The sequence below is a fragment of the Homo sapiens genome, chromosome 10, assembly GCF_000001405.40.
Source record: "Homo sapiens chromosome 10, GRCh38.p14 Primary Assembly".
In the NCBI taxonomy this organism is placed as follows: Eukaryota; Metazoa; Chordata; class Mammalia; order Primates; family Hominidae; genus Homo; species Homo sapiens.
Window position 1 is genome coordinate 11,054,515 of NC_000010.11, and position 19,728 is coordinate 11,074,242.

Genomic DNA, 19,728 nt, shown 5'->3' on the forward strand with positions numbered 1-19,728 from the left:
GTGTGTGTTAATAGGACCGTCTTTTAACTTAATGTCAATTTATGAAGAATTGACCTTGTCTTTATCTCATTTCATAGTGGCCTACAGGACACTCTGGTGGACGTGTAGTCTGTGGATTGGCACTGACTGATGTGAAACATGAAGGTCAAATGAAAGTCACGACAGGAGAGTTAAGATTGTTAAGGGAAGAAAAAGACTTTCTTTTCTAGTGGTTTTTTTCTTTGGAGTCTTGCTCTGTCACCAAGGCTCAAGTGCAGTGGTACAATCTTGGCTCACTGCGACATCCGCCTCCTGGGTTCAAGTGATGCTCCTGCCTCAGCCTCCTGAGTAGCTGGGATTACAGGCGGCCGCCACCAATCCCAGCTACTTATTGTATTTTTAGTACAGATGGGGTTTCACTATGTTGGCCAGACTGGTCTTGAACTCCTGACCTCAGATGATCCACCTGCCTCGGCCCCCTGGAGTGCTGGGATTACAGGCTTGCGCCACCGCACCCGGCTTCTAGTGTATTCTTTTAGAGAAAGTTTTGAGCTGTTGTAGATTTTGAAAATTGATTGAATTACAGATGTTACTGTAATGCTCATAACCTGTGTTTCATGTGTTAATGTATTATTCTTGCAAATTTCAGTTGTCCAGAATAACTGGAAAACAAGTTGATGGGACAGATATTAACTGATACTTCACATGTATTTTCTCCTGGTGTACTTCACTAGGTGAAAGACAAATACACATTAACACAAAGCAGATAGGTAGACTATACCTTTGTAGAATGCCTTTACAAGTCCACATTGATACCCATTATTCTGTATCTAGTACTACAGTTTCCTCATAATCTGCATTTCATGAACAGGATCAGATTCCTGTGTTTCTGAGTCAGAAAAACTGAGAGAAAGAATAATAAAGGGAACTATTTGGCTGACCGAGTATCATTTTCCTGGGAATAGTTTTAATGTGGAGACACAGGTGCCATAGGCACTCTCAGGTGCATTTCTCCTTTCAGAATCTTTCCTCATCCCTGTGCCCTCATGCTTCATACACTTATGAGTGACTGGGATAGATGTTCTTGGCTTAGATGGTTTTTAAGATTCGTTCTAAACCTGATATTCTGTGCAGTGGTTTCTGAAGTGGAAAGACATTCTTTGCTAAATGTGGCCTAATTTTGATCCCGATTGCTCTCCCAAACTCTTGATAGCGTCTGGAAGGCACGGCAGACTATTCTGTAGGCCCAGTGCAAGTGCTGTGGCCGCCATCTTGAAAGCTCTTACATGTGAGTCTTTTCTTCTTTTCCCTCTCCCCATCTGGAGTATCCCCCATCTAGCCATTTCTAAAGGTTCCTTTTCAGTCCCAACTGCTGTATTATTTAAATCCCATCTACAGCACTCACTACAAGCAATGCTTAAATCTGCTTTTGTATTTGAAAACAAAGCTTTAAAAGCAGATAGGGGAGCCACAGAGAAGAGTAGTGATTTTGTGACAATGGCCTAAATCCAAGAAGTGCATTTAGAAAGTGCATTTGTTTGTTTTAAACAATTGGTTTCAGCATGTTTGTCCATTGAAAATGGGAATGCTGAGCCCATGTATAGATAAACCCTCTGATGGAAACTGGAGATTTTTGTTATAGGTAGAAGTGTGTGTGCAATATGGGACCCTATATTCCACAATTCTATAAAGCTCTTTAAAATGTATTCATAATCATTCTAATAATTCATTCTGCATATAGAATATGCCCTCTCACACTCAGTCATATTTGTGGGGTTATTCCTTAAATGAGGCTTTGTTGTTTCTGCAGGAAATGAGTGGTTCGATGTTTTTATAAATCACGTCTGCCTTTTCTAAGATGCATAGCTAGGAATAGGTGCCTAATAGCTTGCTCTGTAGTTGATAATCAATCAGGTAATAATTTATTACACTTGCATGAGCTTTTCAACACTGATAGTTTCACTGTAAGATAAAGAGAATTGTAAGATGCAATTATAAGCATACTTTCCATAAAATGCACTAAGGTAGAGAGCAAGAAAGATGGATGTGGTTGGATCTTAGAGGAATTCTTGTGCAGAAAGGGAAGGTATTTGAATCGTATAAGAAGGGAGTCAAGGATTATAAATTTTAAGAGTAGAATGAAATGTTTACAAAGCATATTGATTTATTTCTTGGTAGAAATGAGCCTTGTGAAACATTTAAGATGAAGCAGGATCAGAGGATGCATTTTCATGAAGATAGTAGACCACTTATCTTAGGTGAAGAAGATACTAAGAGCCAGTGTTAGAAGCAAATCTGATTGATCAGGCATTCTAATCAAAGTCTGAAAATGTGTCCATTAGCAATAACTCTGAAAACTTATGCCAGAAAAAGAAGTCATAGTACTGGGGGAAGTCTGTGCAGGGAAGGGCAAGGCCCACAGGAGGAAAATCCCACGCCATGTTCAACCTTCTAACCACATGCTTCTGGGGGAGGGGTGAGTAAGAACCGCTGCGTGAAGTGTCCAGTCACCTGCTCTCAAATGAATTCCAGGTTGGTAGGTTGGAGGGGAGGCTGTGCTGGGGCAATTAGTGAGCAGCCGTGCCTGGAGGCCCTGGTACCATCTGTGTAACAGAGAAACAGTTTGCCCTGATGAAAAATCAACCTCCAGAGGCAGCAGATACAACCCCTGAAAGAACAAAAAGTCCCAGACCCGACTTCCATGAGATGCAACAGAAGCTAATGAGCCAGTGTGGGTCATACGAGGTGCGCCTGCCTGTGAGAGCGATGCCTGGGCCTCTAGAGGGGTAGGGGATGTGTGGGGTGGGGGGTGGTCCAGCCCAACTAACACATGCTTTTGCTCTACTAGCATGACCCGTGCCAGAGGAAACAGTGATTTTAAGAATGCCTTGAAATACAGCCAGGTAAACACCTGGAGGAGATTTTCATTTTGCTAAATATTAATCTATAGAGAAAACAGGAGAAAAAGGAAAACAAGTTCATAGCCTGATATAAACAACTACTCACCATGGAACTCTCACAAAGGAGCCTCAGCCACGGCCTTGTGGGGGAGGATAGCATTTGAATAAGTGTTGATCCAAAGAGAATGTTTGGCCTTTATGGATACAAACACTGATTATACGCTCAAAGCCATTGACGTAGTATGTTTTCTCTTTTTTTCCCCCCGATGAAGTACTTGAAGCTGGCTTTTTAAGCATAAGGATGTAACGTGGGGATGGTGATTGTCAGATTATGACTTCGGGAATACAGGAGTCACAAAATGTTTTTGGTTAACAGCCTGTTTCTCCATACCCCAGCATCATCCCTTTAACCCATATTGCCAGAAAAAGATGCATTTTAAGATACTGCATCCAACAAGATTCTGACATTTGCTAGCGGTCTACCACAAAGAACAATTATATTTAGCAAGAGAAGTTCTACTTTCTACTGTTAGCAAGACATGTTAAATGGAAGCTTTTTCTTCTTCCTCTTAATTTTTTTTTAGTCTAGCTTTTAGATTGCCTGAAAAGAAAAAAGAGGCTAAGCAAAATGGAAATACTTTACGCCCAACCAAATGGGAATAGATTATCTGAAGAGGAAAAAAAAAAAAAAACGGAATCTAATGTTAAAACCTGCCCTTCTGGATCCAGTGGAGGATCTGGCATGTTCCAGTCGAGTTGTAGTATTTATTGCAAACAAGTAGGCATAAAATACTAAACCAGTTTAGCTTGAGCTCAGCCATGCGGTAACATTGTTAAGTACTGTCTGTGAATTATTCTCCTGTAGTCTGACTGTATATAGCTGTCACTGCCCTGGTGTGTGCTTCTAATGGAAAAGGCTGATTTTAAGGAGTTACACTATATTTGCATCCCACTTCACTTCTGGCTTTAAGAGTTTTATCTTAACTTACTGTGTTAAAGTATAAAGTATTATTTTTCAACAACCTATAAAAGCAAATTAGGTGAGGTACTGTTGGTTTTTTTTGTTGGTTTTTTTTTTTTTTTTTTTTTTTGTGATGGAGTCTTGTTCTGTCACCCAGGCTGGAGTGCGGTGGTGCGATCTCGACTCGCTGCAACCTCCACCTCCCAGGTTCAAGCGATTCTCCTGTCTCAGCCTCCCGAGTAGCTGGGATTACAGGCATGCACCACCACACCTGGCTAATTTTTGTATTTTTAGTAAAAGAAGGGGTTTCACCGTGTTGGCCAGACTGGTCTCAAACTGCTGACCTCAGGCGATCCACCCCCCTCAGCCTCCCAAAGTGCTGGGATTACAGACATGACCCACCGCGCCCGGGCTTTTTTGTTTTGTTTTGTTTTGTTTTGTTTAGAGTTAGTATGTCACTTTGTTGCCCATGCTGGAGTGCAGTGGCACAATCATAGCTGACTGCCACCTGGAGTTCCTGGCCTCAAGTGATCCTTCTGCCTCAGTCTCCTGAGTAGATGGGATAACAAGCATTTATCACCATGTCCGGCTAATTTTTAATTTTTTTGTTGAGACGGGGGGTTTCGCCATCTTGCGTAGGCTGGTCTCAAACTCCTGGGCTCAAGCAATGCTTCTTCCTTGGCCGCACAAAGTGCCAGGGTTGCAGCCGTGAGCCATTGCGTCTGTCCTTCTATTTTATGTATGAGTCAAGGAACAGACATGGTTAACAAACTGCTACTTCAGCGCCCTCCACTAGTAAACAGAACCATCACTAGAACGCAGGCTCTCTGACTCATTTCACCATGGCTCATCACATGATGCCATTTTAATCAGTCAGCTGAAATACACATTCTATTCCTTAATCCCTGGCTTTTTGACTTGATTTGACTAGACTTGCATGTCTGTTTTAGGGTGGAAAACCTGTGCTTGAGTATATTTGTCTTTATACTGTACCTGATCATTTGGCCTGGTAATTTGGGAGGGTTTGAGCCATTTTACTAAGGTGGGGAGCAAATTTAAGACCGTTTACCAAACAGTTTCTCAGGGAAAATGGGCCCTTTTCTCACCATGAGGAAAGTGTTTTGTTTACCTAGCACGGTCTTTTTAAGGCTAAGGCTGATTGAAGGAGAATTCTGGTGAGATGGTGAAAACATATCCCATGTGACTGCTCTTGTTTCTGTGCCTCAAAGATATAAACCTTGAAGGAGAAGGCTTGGAGTCCAAGGAAAGAGTTGTGCTATTGCAATAAGCCCATAGCCTTGCAGACTCCGAGATAGCAGCCATCAGGACAGAGTATGGAAAATGCAGTGATTTGTATCAGCCAGAGGGAAGCGCAGCCTCAGGCACTGGAAGAGTGAAGGGTAGTGCTTTCACTTAAGGAAACTTAGCTGGTGAAGGACTCCCCCAAACTAATTTTGTTGAATATCTGAAATCCCTGGAATAGTGCACCTGAAGGAGGGAATAGAGCCTTTGCATTTAAATTGCTGGAGTTTATCTGATTAGGATAGGTTTCAACTTTCACACGCTTAAGCTTAGCACAGAATAGATGCTCAAAAGCCGTTGAATTGGTCATAGTTCTTTTTCTTGGATTCTTTTTATTTAAAAGTGTATCAGAAACACATCTTTGAAATCAGAGGCTTGTGCTCAAAATGCAAGAGGAAGAGAAGTCTAGTAAGAGAGTTGGTGCTGTTGACTTCCTTGTGAATGGAGATTACAGTATTTGAAGAGTTGAAGTCTAGTTTGTCCCACCAAGTCACTGAACAGCCCCATGATCTCAGAGGTACCAGCAGCAGTTTTACTGCATTCTCATACCTGAAAGAACATGGAATACACTTTGCCATTCAATACAGCCCCTAGGAAATGGGTGAACCCCACTCAAAACTTCCTGGATAGGACAGCTCTGCGTGCACCGTTCCCGGCATAGTCAGTGGTGCCTTCAGGATTCAGGGGCATTTTGTACTTCTGAAGAGTAAGGTACAAGTATGCCAGATTCTCTCATTAGAATGAAATCATTAATTACAGGAAAAGTGTAATTAGGGTATGTGAAATATTTTATATGGTGGAGTTTCTTGATGTTAAAGATGTTCCTGCATTGCCTACCCTCAATGCTCCTGTCTTTAAAACTCTCCTTGGCTGCTCTTAGAAGTACAGTGTCATCAGCCTTTGATGTGCTTGGAGATAGAATACAGGTGCACCTTGTTTAATTGCACTTCACTGGAATGTGCTTTTCAGATACTGCCTTTTTTTTCCTTTTTAACAAATTGAAGGTTTATGGTGACCCTGTGTCTGTCTGAAATTGTCGGTGCCATTTCCCGATAGCATTTTCCCAATAACATGTGCTCAGTTTGCATCTCTGTTTCACACTTTGGTAATTTTCACAATGTTTCAAACTTTATTATAACTGTTACAGTGATCTGTGATCCATGATCTTTGGTGTTACTATTGTAATTGTTTCAGGGTGTCAGGAACAGTTCCCATAGAAGACAGTGAGCTTAATAAAAGTTGTGTGTGAAGTGCTGCCATTCTCTGTCTTTCTCCCTCCACTTGGGCTTTTCTATACCCCAAATTTCAATTTCCTAATTGAAATCAGGTCAATTAATAACCCTGCAATGGCCTTTAACTGTTCAAATGAAAGACTAAAGAATCAAAAGCTTGAAATTATTAATTAAAGCTCAGTGAGAAAGGCACGTCAAAAGCTGAGAAACGCTGAAAGCTGGGTCTGTTGGACCAAGCATTCTATCCAAGTGGTAAATGCAAAGGAAAAGTTCTTGAAGGAGATTGAAAGTGCTGTTCCCATGAACATACAAGTGATAAAGTGAAATAGACTTATTGCCTATATGGAGAAAATTGAAGTGGTCTGGATAGAAAATCAAATGAGCCACAACAGTTCCTTAAGCCAAAGCTTAATCCAGAGCAAGTCCATAACTCTTCAATTCTTTGAAGGATGAGAGAGGTGAGGAAGCTGCAGAAGAGCAGTTTGAAGCTAGCAGAGGTTGGGTGATGAGGGTGAAGGAAAGAAGCCATCTCCATAGCATAGAAGTACAAGGTGAAGCAGCAAGTGCTAATGAAGAAGCTGCAGCAAGTTATCCAGAAGACCTAGCAAGATCATTGATGAAGGTGGCAACACTGAACAACAGGTTTTTCAAGGTAAATGAAACAGCCTGCTATTGGAAGATGCCATCTAGAAGTTTCGTAGCCAAAGAGGAGAAGTCAATGTCTGGCTTCAGAGGACAGATTGATTATCTTATAAGGGGCTAATACAACTGGTGACTTTCAGTTAAGCCATTACTCATTTACTACTCCAAAAATCCTTGGGCCCTTAAGAATTTTACTAAACGTACTCTTCCAGTGCTCTGTAAATGGAACAACAAAGCCTGGATGACAGCACATCTGTTTACAGCATGGTTTACTGAATTTTTTATTTGTTTGTTTTAATTGAGGCAGAGTCTCGCTCTGTCACCTAGGCTGGAGTGCAGTGGCATGATCTCAGCTCACTGTAACCTTTGCGGCCTGGGCTCAAACAATTCTCCTGCCTCAGCCTCCTGAGTAGCTAGAACTATAGGCACCTGCCACCACGCCCAGGTAATTTTGTATTTTTAGTAGCGACGGGGTTTCACCATGTTGGCCAGGCTGGTCTTGAACTCCTGACCTCAGGTGATCTGCCCTCCTCGGCCTCCCAAAGTGCTGGGATTACAGGCGTGAGCCTGGCCAGTTTACCGAATTTTTTATGCCTACGGTTGAGACCTACTGCTCAGGGGGGGAAAAAAAAATTCCTTTCCAGATATTAGTGCTCATTGGCAATGTACCTTGTCATCCAAGAGCTTTCGTGGAGATGTACAAAGAGATTAATGTTGTTTTCATGCCTGCTAATGCAGCATTCATTCTGCAGCCCATGGAGAGGAAGTAAGTTCCACATTGAGGTCTTATTTAAGAAACATATTTTGTAAGGCTATGGCTGCTATAGATTGTGATTCCTCTAATGGATCTGTGCAAAGTAAATTGAAAACCTTCTGGAAAGGATTTACCATATTAGAGGTCATTAAGAACATTCATGATTCGTGGGAGAAGGTCATAGTATCAATATTAACAGGAATTTGGAAGAAGTGGATTTCAGTCCTCATGGATAACTGAGGGTTTCAAGACTTCATTGGAGGAAGTCCCTGTATGGTGGAGATAGCAAAGAATTCGAATTAGAGGTGGAGCGTGGAGATGGGACTGAATTGCTGCAGTGTCATGATCAAACTTGAACAGATGAGCAGTTGCTTCTTACGGATGAGCAAAGAAATCGGTTTCTGGAGATGGACACCTGGTGAAGATGTTGTGTACATTGTTGAAATGACAAAGGATTCATAATATTCCATAAACTTTGTTAATAAAGTAGTGGCAGGGTTTGTGAGGATTGACTCCAATTTTAAAAGAAGTTCTAACATGGGCAACGTGCTATCAAACAGCATGGGATGCTTCAGAAAAATTTTCCCTGAGTCAGTCAAAGCAGCAAACTTCATGGTTGTCCTGTTTTAAGAGATTGCCACATCCTTCAGCAGCACCCCCCCCGCCATCAGTCAGTAGCCATCAGCATCGAGGCAGGACCCTCCACCAGCAAAACGATTGCAAGCAGCGGAAGACTCAAACGATAGTTAGCAATTTTTAGCAATGCTGTATTTTAACATTAAGATACGTACTTTTTAAAAGACATAATGCTATGGCACACTTAATAGGTTTGCTGCAGTATAGTGTAAACATGATTTCTGTATGCACTGGGAAACCAAAAAATTCATGTGACTTGCTTCATTGAAATACTAGCTTTATTTTGATGGTCTGGAACCAAACCTGCTGTATCCTCAAGGTATGTCAGTATTTAGGAACATGGCACATACAGAAGGGGGCTACCTATGAAATATTTATTCCCCATTTGATATCTGAAGTGATTTGAAATCATTGAAAGATGTTGACTTAAGATGGTCAGGCGACTACTACCAAACATTCATGACTTATCTATAAAATCTCCACATGGGAACATATACATGTCAATATTGAAACTAGAGAATTTTAATTACCAATTTTTATTTGAAAGCATTGCTGTGTGCTAAGCGCTGTGCATAGCATTTCTTATTTCAGAGTAATTTGGGGTCACATTTTAAGTTAAAGCATCATAAATAAAAGGTTTATTCATACTCAATAAAATGCCTTAGAATATAGTTACAGATTTTAAATGTGAAATCTAAATATCATATCCTTTTGAAGTGTTACACAAATGTGGCAGCTGTCTTTAAATAAACCCTTTTTTTGCTTGTATTCTTAACGTAGATAAGACATCGTGTAAAAATGTTTGGGTTTAAGAACTCAGTATTGTATTGATAGATTGGTGGTTTTCATTTTGATCCACACATTAAAATCACCTAAATAATTCTTTAGAGACACTTGTGCCTAGGCCTGTCTCTGCCCTATTAAGTTGGACTCTCTAAAAGGTGACAATGAGCATCTTTGGCTTTTGCTTCCAGAGGGGAGTGGATTGATGCCTTTTGCGTTCTGCATGGATAATCTGATGTTTTGTAGCTCCTGGAGTGTGCTGTTTATCGGTGGAGTTGCATTCACTCAGTTGAACTACAGGAAACTAATTCCTGAGTGCCTTCAGCAGATACTTTAAGGGTCTGCTGCGTGTCAGGCATGATTCCCAGCATCTGCTTGGGAGAGACTTGATCCCCTCCTTCTGGAGTTTATGCTTGTTGTTTCGGGCAAAAGATTGAGTCTTCTCGAAGTCTAAATGCACAATTAACAGAATCATCTCATTTCACTGACAGATTTAACCTGATTCTTAGATCTGGGCTAGGTTTTCCAAATCATTTCACAGTGCTTGATGCTTTTTCTGATTTGTGGATTTGGTTTCTCTTTAACTACGTTCCACATTTAGATTAATTGACTGTTTTCAGCAGGCCAGTCCCACCAGCACTCCCTTCAGAGTGGTCTGTGGTTATTACAACCAAGGAATTATTTTTGTTTGTTTGCCTATTATGATGAAAGAAACAATACATTGCTTTTCTTTTTTCTGGAACAGTAACCTTCAAGTTTAAAATCAAACAGCATTTCTTGTTAAGGGAGAAAAAGTGTTTAACACTGTGGAAGAAGTAATAGCTAAGCAAGTGGTATCAGTTAAACCATAGTGAACCCATCATTTAAGAGTGAAAGATTTAAAATTATTCAGGTATTTTGACCTGTTCTGCTTCAAATAGAGTATATAAATGTCTCAATCCCCTTTTGCTTCCTCATACCAATCTCTTCCCCACCCCCCAAATATGATTTAAAATCTTGATATATAGAGCAGGAGCACCAGGAATAAAAGGCACATTCAATTAGGGGAGACTCTTTACTGACCTAAATAACAGTTCATTCATGAGATAATGTGACCTGCAGTCAGAGAGAAAAATCTGTTGCTTGAGCTGGGATAAACCTGGCATAGTACAAACCCTCCGGTAGTCAGGGAATCATCTAACATTAGACCAGGTAGAAAAATACTGCAAAAGCTTTGCAGGCCCAGTCTCCATTTCAGGAATGTTTCTTTCTCAAGATGTATGTGTCATTTGTCACCTAGACTATCCCTGGTAATCCTGTAATGCACATCTCTATCAGTGTGAAGTGCTTGCTATCGAAGTGAAGTTCCCTGCTATCAAAGCAATCAAGCAGTTCAAGCAGTTAAGCAATTTATGTATCTTAAGGGTGAGTTTCCTTTCATAACTTAAGGAGCTCACCTTCTGTTAAACAAGGTCTCCTCTTTGGAGAGGTGGTCAGTGTATCTTGGGATTTTCTGGTGGCCACGAGTTTGATGATTGCCGTGATCAAAACATCAATATCTGTCCTAGAAATTATTGTATGGTGTTGTGTATGCAAGTATTTGTCTTACAGTGATGCATTTTCAAAAATGTGAGATTATCATCTTGTTTCCTCAGGTTTCTTTCAGTAGATCTGACGGTAAATTCTTGAACTGCTAAAGGGAAATTCCTTACTACCGAAATGAGCTCAGATTCTTTTGGGAAAGAGAAGCGTAGAAATAAATGCGGTACACTAAGTAGTTTGCTATCCAGTGAACCATCTAGTGTGATGGTTAGAGGTTTCTTGGATCATTGGAATCATAAGGAGCTCCAGTCGTTGTTTGTGATTTATCCATGTCAAAATGAGGGGGGGATCCCACAAGGATGTGGTTTTCCTCTTTGAACCAATAGGGAAAAACTTAAATCTAAAATATGAAGTTCAGATTTTATTCCTTCAAAACATGTTTATGGAGCATCAGTGAACAAGACAGACAAACCCCACCCCCCGCCATTGCTGAGTGTGCACTCTAGTGAGGAATGCAGATGCTATAAATAAAACAACTTACTTAGAAGGTACTATGGTCAGGGTGAGGGGTAGGAATAGAGCAGGGCAAGGAGAACTAGGAGCTCCAGATTTGGAGGGCCCGGGGAGGGTTGCAGTTTTAAATAGGGTATCAGGGTAGGCTTTCTCCGGAAGGAGCAATTGAAAGAAAACCAGGAAGCCACTGAGGGATTAGGCCACGTGCTTATGCAGGGTAGAGTAGTCCAGGCAGAAAGCAGTTATACTGGAAGTGCCCCATACAGCAGGAATGCACCTGGCATGTTGGAGGAACCCAAAGGCCATTGTGGCTGCTGAGAGGGCGTAGGGAGGAGGAAAAAAGGAGATCAGGCCACCGGAAGTGGGGTCCCAGCCACACAGGGCCTTGTCAGCAGTTAGGTTTTCCATGGCACCGGGAGTAAAGCTTTAAAGGGATTTGAGCAGAAGAATGAGCTGGCTTCATTGTGTGCCTTGACATTCATCAGTTGTTTGATAACTACTATTTTTTTTTCTTAAATTTCATCTCTTTTCTGGAACCACACCTTTTTTTTCCTTCTCTGAAAATTGTAACAGCAATAGCTCATACTTGCTATGGTGGGTGTGCTGCCAATCACTGTACGTTGATTAACCCTGTGACCCTTCACAACAACTTCAAACAGTACATGTCATCACCTTCATTTTATAGGGGAGGACCCGGAGACTGGGAGAGCATAAATGATTCACCTGAGGACCTCAGGTCACTCAAGGGCAGAGTCAGTATTCCAGCTGAGGCAGTGGGCTCTTAACTCTTAACCACAGTAGTGAAACACTCATGCCCTCCCACCCTAAGATTTCCCCAGACCCCCATGAGCATCCCACTTGTCAGCCTCAGGCTCTTTAACCGTTCACATATGTAGTTGCCCAAAGGATGATACTATGTCAGCTGGGGTGTGCATGTGGGTTGGTTGCACTGTGTGGATCAAGGTGTGTCTGTCGGGGATAAGGAGGAGGAGTGGTTGCTGCTTGTTGGGGACTCATCTGTGGGACTTACCAATTACCATTTCCCAATTACAGCATGGTTTCCTAGGTGCCAGGGTGTGGGGGGAGCTAAGAGACTTGCATGTGTATATTGAAGCAAGAACCCCAGCTCCTGCTGCATCTCCTCCCTTCCCCCTGAGACCGCTGGTGTAGGTGCTGTCGGTTGTAAACAGCACAGTCAGGGTGAGACTGTGCTTGGCTCTGTAGTTACTGTCATGTGGCATGATAGAACTCTTGCCTACAGGTAGAAATTATAATGAGGGACCTGAATTCGCAACTTTGACTTCACTCTCAATTCCCTCCATCATCCAGTTATTAGTCCTTTAATGTCACTCTAGCTTTTTTATGTCTTTTAGCGACATCATCTCATGATTTTGCTGTTGGATTTGGAAAGGAGGAACCTCAGCTTGTAATAGAAATGTATGAAGTGAAATGAGTTCTAAGGAGGAAGCCATTATAACCTCTTGTAAGAGTACGTAAATGTGTACATATTTGGCAGATTAAAAACACTGGGCTTACGTTAAGTCATGATATTTTATGGCAACAAGCATTCTGATAGCCAGTGGAAATATATTTTTGAAGTGCCGGTAAAAGGCAGGTCGTCCATTGGGGAACTTTATTTCTGAATTTGCTAAGTAAAACTTGCTTGCAAATGTGTAATATCTGTAGCACACTGCTCTTATTAATCCACTGGAGCTGACTTCCTGTTGTCCAAGGAAAATGAGAACGCTTCTAAGTGCCTGTGTGGCGTATATTCTACTTTAAATAAAATTCCACACACAAGGCAAGGACAGTACAAGCCTTTTAGAAAAAAACAAAACCCATGCAAGACAAACCAAATCTAAATATTGATTTAAATTGGATCATAGCTCTTTAGACAACACCTCTTAGTGCCCACCGGTTCCCAAGCAAGAAACTCTGTGTTCTGGATAGTTGTAAAAGAAATAGAACATGCTTCCCTTGTGTGTTTCCAGTGGTTGAAGTTGAAAGAACACAGGTTAGAGTCAGATCAGGCATGAATTTAAATCTCTTTTCCTATTTATTGGTTCTGAGACCCTGGGCAAGTTATTTAACCTTCTAAATCCCACTTTCCCGTCTGTAAAGTGAAAATGGGAATATTCAGTTGGCAAGATTTTGAGAATTAAAACAGAACATTGAACATAGACCACCTGATCCCAGTAGGTACTTAGTAAATACTTCCTTCACTGTTGTCAAGGATCACACAGTAGGGGATGGGGGGAGGATGAAAATATGTTAACAATCTCTTAGGCAAAAATTCTGAAGCAATAGTGGGCACTTCTCACCCATTATGACAGTTATTTCACATAGTGTGGAGATAGAACCAAATTTAGACTCATTTTCCCAGGTCCCTGTTGAGAACCTACTGTGTGTCATGTCTGATTCCAGATGCTGAGGAAACACAGTCTCTACGCTTATTTAAAGTTTATTGAGAGAGCAGACATTGACCAAATACTCATACTAATCAGACCAATAAATGTCAAACCGCAACTGTGTTAGTGCTATGAGAGAGAAGAAAATGATATTACAAAACAGCATAATAGACAAGTTTGACCTAATCAGGGAGATCCAGAAAATCTTCCCTGAAAAGGATGGCAATGATGCCAATATCTTAAAGGTGAAGAGCTGCCTGCAACCCTCAGTATACCATCAGGGTCCCTTGGACCCCATTTTAATTTTGGAGTTTCTTTTATGAGATGCCTTAAGTGCTTTAAAGGATTGCTGTTGCATAAATTTAATCTTTCATAGAGGTCTTTGAAGGAACAAACAGAACATTATGAGAACATTATTTCTGTTTTTTTTTTTGAGACGGAGTCTTGCTCTGTCGCCCAGGCTGGAGTGCAGTGGCCCGATCTTGGCTCACTGCAAGTTCTGCTTCCTGGGTTCACGCCATTCTCCTGCCTCAGCCTCCCGAGTAGCTGGGGCTACAGGTGCCTGTCACCATGCCCAGCTAATTTTTTGTATTTTTAGTAGAGATGGGGTTTCACCGTGTTAGCCAAGATGGTCTCGATCTCCTGACCTCGTGATCCACCCGCCTCAGCTTCCCAAAGTGCTGGGATTACAGGCGTGAGCCACCGCACCCGGCCTCATTATTTCTTTTAAGGCAAAAAAACAACTCATTCTGTCTTAGCATTACCACATAGCTCTGTTGGACCTTTTGTACACCTAAGACACGTTGTGACGTCTTAGTGGTCTTTTCTGTATCTTGAAACATTTTCCTATTTCATCATCTGAGGAATTTGTTCATCCATGCTTATCAATTATTCCCAACCATACTAAAATAAATGTTAGAAAAGCAGTGAGTGATGGAATCAAATATAAGGCTGATGCAATAGTGAAGTGTTATTATATTATCCTTGAGTTTTCTTACTGCATGACCCACAGTTTTTTGTATCTTTCAAGCAGGTATAAAAGAAGTCAAGAAATGTTTTTATGTAAATTAAAAAAAATCTCTGGTTGAACAGAGTTTAGAATTGATCATTTTCTCCCATGATAGCAAAGAAAAGGATCATGATTACTACATGATTCAGAAGATAAATGCCAAAAGACAGAAGCTCTCTAGACTCTAATGATGATGGTGAAATTGATAGTGTAAGTGAAATCTCAGATTCTTCAGACGAAGATATCCCAGATGAATTTTCCTCAACTCAGGAATCATGTGAGTCAGTAATGCATTTCAATGGATGAAAAGGAAATACGGTATTCATATCCAGTTAGTCATTCAGTAGGGAGTACTTCATCATGCAACATTTTGCAGCAAAAACCTGGAGCATTCTGTTTTTGCTAGAAGGACATGTGACAAATTATTTCATCTTTTAAGATGTTTGTTTATGGAAAATGTACTTCATATGGTTTTTATAAGTGGACAAATGCAGGTGTGTATACAGAGGTGGTTAGAAGGAATATATGATGTAGAAATGAAAAGAATCATTGGCTTGTCACTCTAATTGATTGCACCAAATCCAGAAATGAAAGTGTTTCGTAATTATTAAGCCAGGAATATGGCTGTCCTTTCATCAGCAAAACTATGAGCCGTCACATGTTAAGATACTGCGTTTTGATCATGCAGCTACGAAAAGAACCAGAAGTAATGATGAGCTAGAACCTATTAGAGCTACGTTCAAACCTAGAGTTAGCATTTGTAAGGTGGATATATTCCAGCTTCATTCAGGACAGTCGAAGAGCAGTTAGTTGCATTCAAGGAAGTTACCTGTTTTGAGTATCTGAAGCTTCAAAGCTAGGAAAATTGGAGTAAAAATTTGGGTTTGCTATTTAAGTTATCACTAATGTTTCCAATAATGTTTGTACTCTTGTTTTATTCTCTAAATCATTCTTTAAATTCATTCAAAAAGTAAAAAAATAAAAGAGGTCCATTGGTGATGACCCTTTTTTCTTCGTATACAGTGGGTTTAGCAGGCAAAGGAGGAGGGAAGAGAATTTCAGGTAGAGAGAACAACACATGCAAAGGACTCAGGGTAGGAGACAGACGGTTTGCTTGAACTAAGTGAAGGCTCAGGTGGTGGGAATGCAGAGAGCACCAGCGGTGGGGCGAGGCTGGAGAGGATGCGGGCACCCATGATCCAGGGACCTGTAGACATGAGGAGGATTTCTTCCCCGATTCTAAGAACAAGGGAAGCCATCTAAGGGAATTAAGCAGAGGACGGGCATTGTCACACTTGGATTTTAAAAAGTGATGATGGCATTTGAGGTGATTTTGAACCAGGCACTTGTGCATACAGGACTGGGCCTGGTGAGAAATTTCCGGCTGGAGGTGTGGAGTTGGAGGTTCATCTGCATGTAGTTCAGGTGAACATCTTGAGTCGTGAAAATCTTGAGCAAAGATGAAATCATCTGGGGGGAGGGGTATAAAGTGAGAACATCTAAGTCCCAGTGTCTGGGACCAACAATACTTTGTGGCCTGAAGAGACGATGAGCTTGTGAAGGAGACGGAGGAAGAACAGTGGCATGGGAGAAAACATGATACTGTGTGAAGGAAGACAGAGGAGGTGAATGTTCGGGGAAGGGTGCATAGCATCAGTTGCTACTAAGGAGTCTAGTAAGAGGAAAACGAAAGAACAAAAGTTTTGGAATTTACCAACATAGAGATACTTGGTAACCTTAGTGGGAGATACTCCAATAAAGTGATGAGATTATAGGTTGGATTGGAACTAGCCAGCTATGAAATGGAAGGTAAGAAAAGAAGGGGATAGTATAGATGACTATTTTGAGAAATTTGGCTATTTAAAGGTGGTAGAGAGTAAAGACACAGTAATATCAAATGGCCAGATAAATACAGCAGTGATCCTATTTATTTTAATCTTGTTTATGTTTTATTTATCGAGGCTAATTCTGCTGTAATTTAAATCAGTTTTCTACCTTCATGAACGACTTGAGAGCTCCTGATCCCTTTGAATTGTCGTGCTTCCCTGAGTTCCACTTGGCCTGTGTTTTGCAGCAAGCCTCCAGCTAGGACATGCGCTGGTTCTTGGGAGCAAGCTCAGGGGCATGAAGTTTTATTGCACCAGGCATCCAACATGTCTTATCTTGGTTTACTCTTCACAACAACTATATGAGGTTGGTTTCATTACCTCCGTTTTACAGATGATAAAAGTAAGGTTCAGAGGAGGCTACTTCCCTGCCAGAGTCGAACATCTAGGAAGAGGGAGAACTGGGATTCAAACCCAGGTGACTGAGGCTACACATTTCCTGACTTATCTTCGACACAAAGATAACATCGCAGTTGAAATAAACTGCCTTTCACAAGAGATTTTTCCACTCAAAACCCAGATTTTGGGGCTTATTTTTATTGCTTTCATTCATACAATCTGTCAGTACACAGCCAATTCAAGATCAGCTCCCTTTCTTCCCCGCTGTTGCCTCATCCAATGTGTCTCTTAACTGTCTTGCTGCTGGAAGTAGTTCTGAGAAATGAAAATAATAAAACCAGTGTTATTTCCCAGAGGCTTTGGAAACAAGTACAGGATTTTGTTTCTGCTGCTTCACCAACCCACTTATTATAATCTCAGTTCTTCTTACCTGGGACCCCACGCAGGAACAAAACAGATCTGAATCCTTTCATATCTCACCCCTGACAAGTCCCGAGTCAATGGGGTCATGTTGGTGACATGTTTGGACATGTATAGAAGGAAAACTGGATGGAAGTCATAATCAGCATTGTGACCATGACAAGTTGATCCCACATTAAAATAGAAATGTTGAATTGGTGACGACACCGTGAGTTTGGAGATTGCCTTTTGGGTTATGTCCTTAGGATCACACAGCATGGTCAAGTGGTCCAAGATGTGGACAGCTGAGTTACACATTCCAGGTGAAACAGAGGAAAGTTGATAGAGGTGAGGTCGAGCAACATTCTTTTGTCGTTTTTTCTTTAGGATCAAAGTCCCCATTTAATAGATGTTTTCAGCCCATGGAAGACACTAATTTGAGAGAATTATGTGTTTTTCTCTCCCAGGGTTTTGTACCTTCTCCTCCTCTCTCTAATGTTAACTTATAGAACCTCTTTTAAGTGCATGTGACAAGTTGTTTCTTTGCCTTGAGGGAAAGATTTTGATGTCACTATGTGAGACTCAAGTCTTTGATGTTTAATTGTATTTTACCCAGATGACAATGAATGGTTGGACTGTGTTTCCTGCATATTGCTAAGACCATGACCATAGTGGAACCTCTACAGTCAGTGCTCACTTTGTGAGGCTGGAGTGTGACCACTTGCCCCTGGGAGGCCACGGTAGCCACACCCCGTTCTTTGACAGCCTCTTTGAGCATAAGAGACTCTGGGTAACATAGCAGATTCTGGACTCTGGGACAAACCAGCATTATTGCCTGAGCTGATCTTCACTCCTTCTGAATTTTAAAGCAAAGGATATAGAGGCAGCCCCAACCATAGGAGCACAAGAGTATCTCCCATCCCTGTGGAGTCTGTAGATGGTGACCCTTAAGTTTACTAACACCTCGGGTTCACAGGTATCACTTGAGTTGTGGAATATCCATTTGATTGATATTCATTTAGGTGAATCCTGATTTCCCTTTTTTTTTTACATTATAAAACGGAGGTATGCTAACTGAGGATGGGAAGCAGATATCCCTGAAACATAATAAAATTGGTTTTTAAAACATAGAAAACATTTTTAATAACTATATTAAAATGTTAATACTATACTAATAACTATATTAATATCCTATTACATTATATATTATAAGTTATTACACAAATCACACTCTTATTGTACAACATACTACTAATACAAGTTACATATTTTAGAAATACAATTATGATAAATATAAATAATGCTAATATAATTATACCAAAATATTAACATGTCAAATCTTAGCAATAATACTTGAATTATGAAACATTCACAAATCTGGACAGAGCAGAGTGTAACACTGGCTAGTGACTCAGTGGGCCTCCTGTACTGCCCTCACTGTAGAAGAAACTATCCCTTAAGCTTTGACAATTCGCTTTCAAATTATGTAGCATTTTTCTCTAGGAAGGCTTTTTATTATATTTTGGTGGCACTTAAGCCCTCCAGCTGCAACACCCCTTACCCTAATGGTTTTGTCTTTTCAGTTAACGATTTCTGGGAATATAGACACGTTTATTTAAAGTAGAGGAATGGCAGTAGCAGCAGGGATTGAAACACGCCGGGATGTTTAGCAATAGTCACAGCAACATACAGTGGTATGAGGGTCTGGAATTTTGTTCATATCCAGGCTTAATGAATTACTGGCTTGTGATAGTTATAAAAATAGCCAAATTTGCTGGCACCTACTATATGTCAGGCACTGTGCCTAAAGACTTCATGTGTGGACTCTGGTTTCAAGTGGAATGGTTTTTATATTTCACTCAATTGTGGTTCACTGGTTAACGGTGACCATGGCATCAGAATGGCCTTGGGCCTCACAGAGTGCTGATCTTACTAACGCTGACTGAGGAGAAGGGGCCAGGTCTCCCTGGGGTGCTGGTAACATAAGGTGATGGCTGCAGGGTGGTGGCTGGGAAACCCACAAATGTCCTTCGTGTTTTACCTAGTGCTGTGAAGCAGAGTGAGGGTTTAATTCACAATTTCTTTATGTTCATGATTTTGGTTATACATTTTTAAATAGTTTTCATACTGTTATCAAATGTAAAATAATTGAGAATATTCTTGTAATGGCCATAGAACTTGGAAGCTTTGAATTTGAAAACCTACCTTAGATAAGTGATTTCTAGCCTCCGTGCCACAGCCCTCGAGGGTCTGTAGTTGTTATCAGAAGTTCTAAATCCTTGGACACATCAAGTTCTGTCTGCAGGCTAAAGTATATACGAGTATGTGTGTGTTACAACATCTATTCAACCTATTTTGTTGCTTTTTTGATCAGCAAAATGTCTATTTCAAAACACATTACCAAATTCAAACTAGCTTTGAATTTATATCCTTTTGTATTTTTCTCAAGTCATCTGATACCAAA

The 19,728-nt window shown here is 40.9% G+C and overlaps 1 protein-coding gene and 1 long non-coding RNA gene across 61 annotated transcripts in view, besides 1 other annotated feature; one reads left to right on the plus strand and one right to left on the minus strand.

The window, feature by feature from the left end:
• The window catches only part of CELF2 (CUGBP Elav-like family member 2), an 874,126-nt gene that overhangs the window by 591,965 nt on the left and 262,433 nt on the right, over positions 1 to 19,728 (plus strand). The window lies entirely within an intron of this gene.
• Positions 16,859 to 18,058: an enhancer, noted in NCBI's record as "BRD4-independent group 4 enhancer chr10:11113336-11114535 (GRCh37/hg19 assembly coordinates)". NCBI's record gives its function as "activates an origin of replication core promoter dependent on BRD2, P300/CBP, MED14 and CDK7 cofactors, and independent of BRD4, by STARR-seq in HCT116 cells {active_cell/tissue: HCT116}" and the evidence as "EXISTENCE:reporter gene assay evidence [ECO:0000049][PMID:35650434]".
• CELF2-AS2 (CELF2 antisense RNA 2) overlaps positions 17,027 to 19,728 on the minus strand; it is a 33,948-nt gene continuing 31,246 nt past the window's right edge. The window contains exons 6-7 of the long non-coding RNA NR_046108.1: positions 17,296 to 18,361; positions 17,027 to 17,180 (exon numbers count right to left, since the gene is read on the minus strand). This is a non-coding gene — a long non-coding RNA (CELF2 antisense RNA 2). The remainder of the gene's footprint in view (positions 17,181 to 17,295; positions 18,362 to 19,728) is intronic.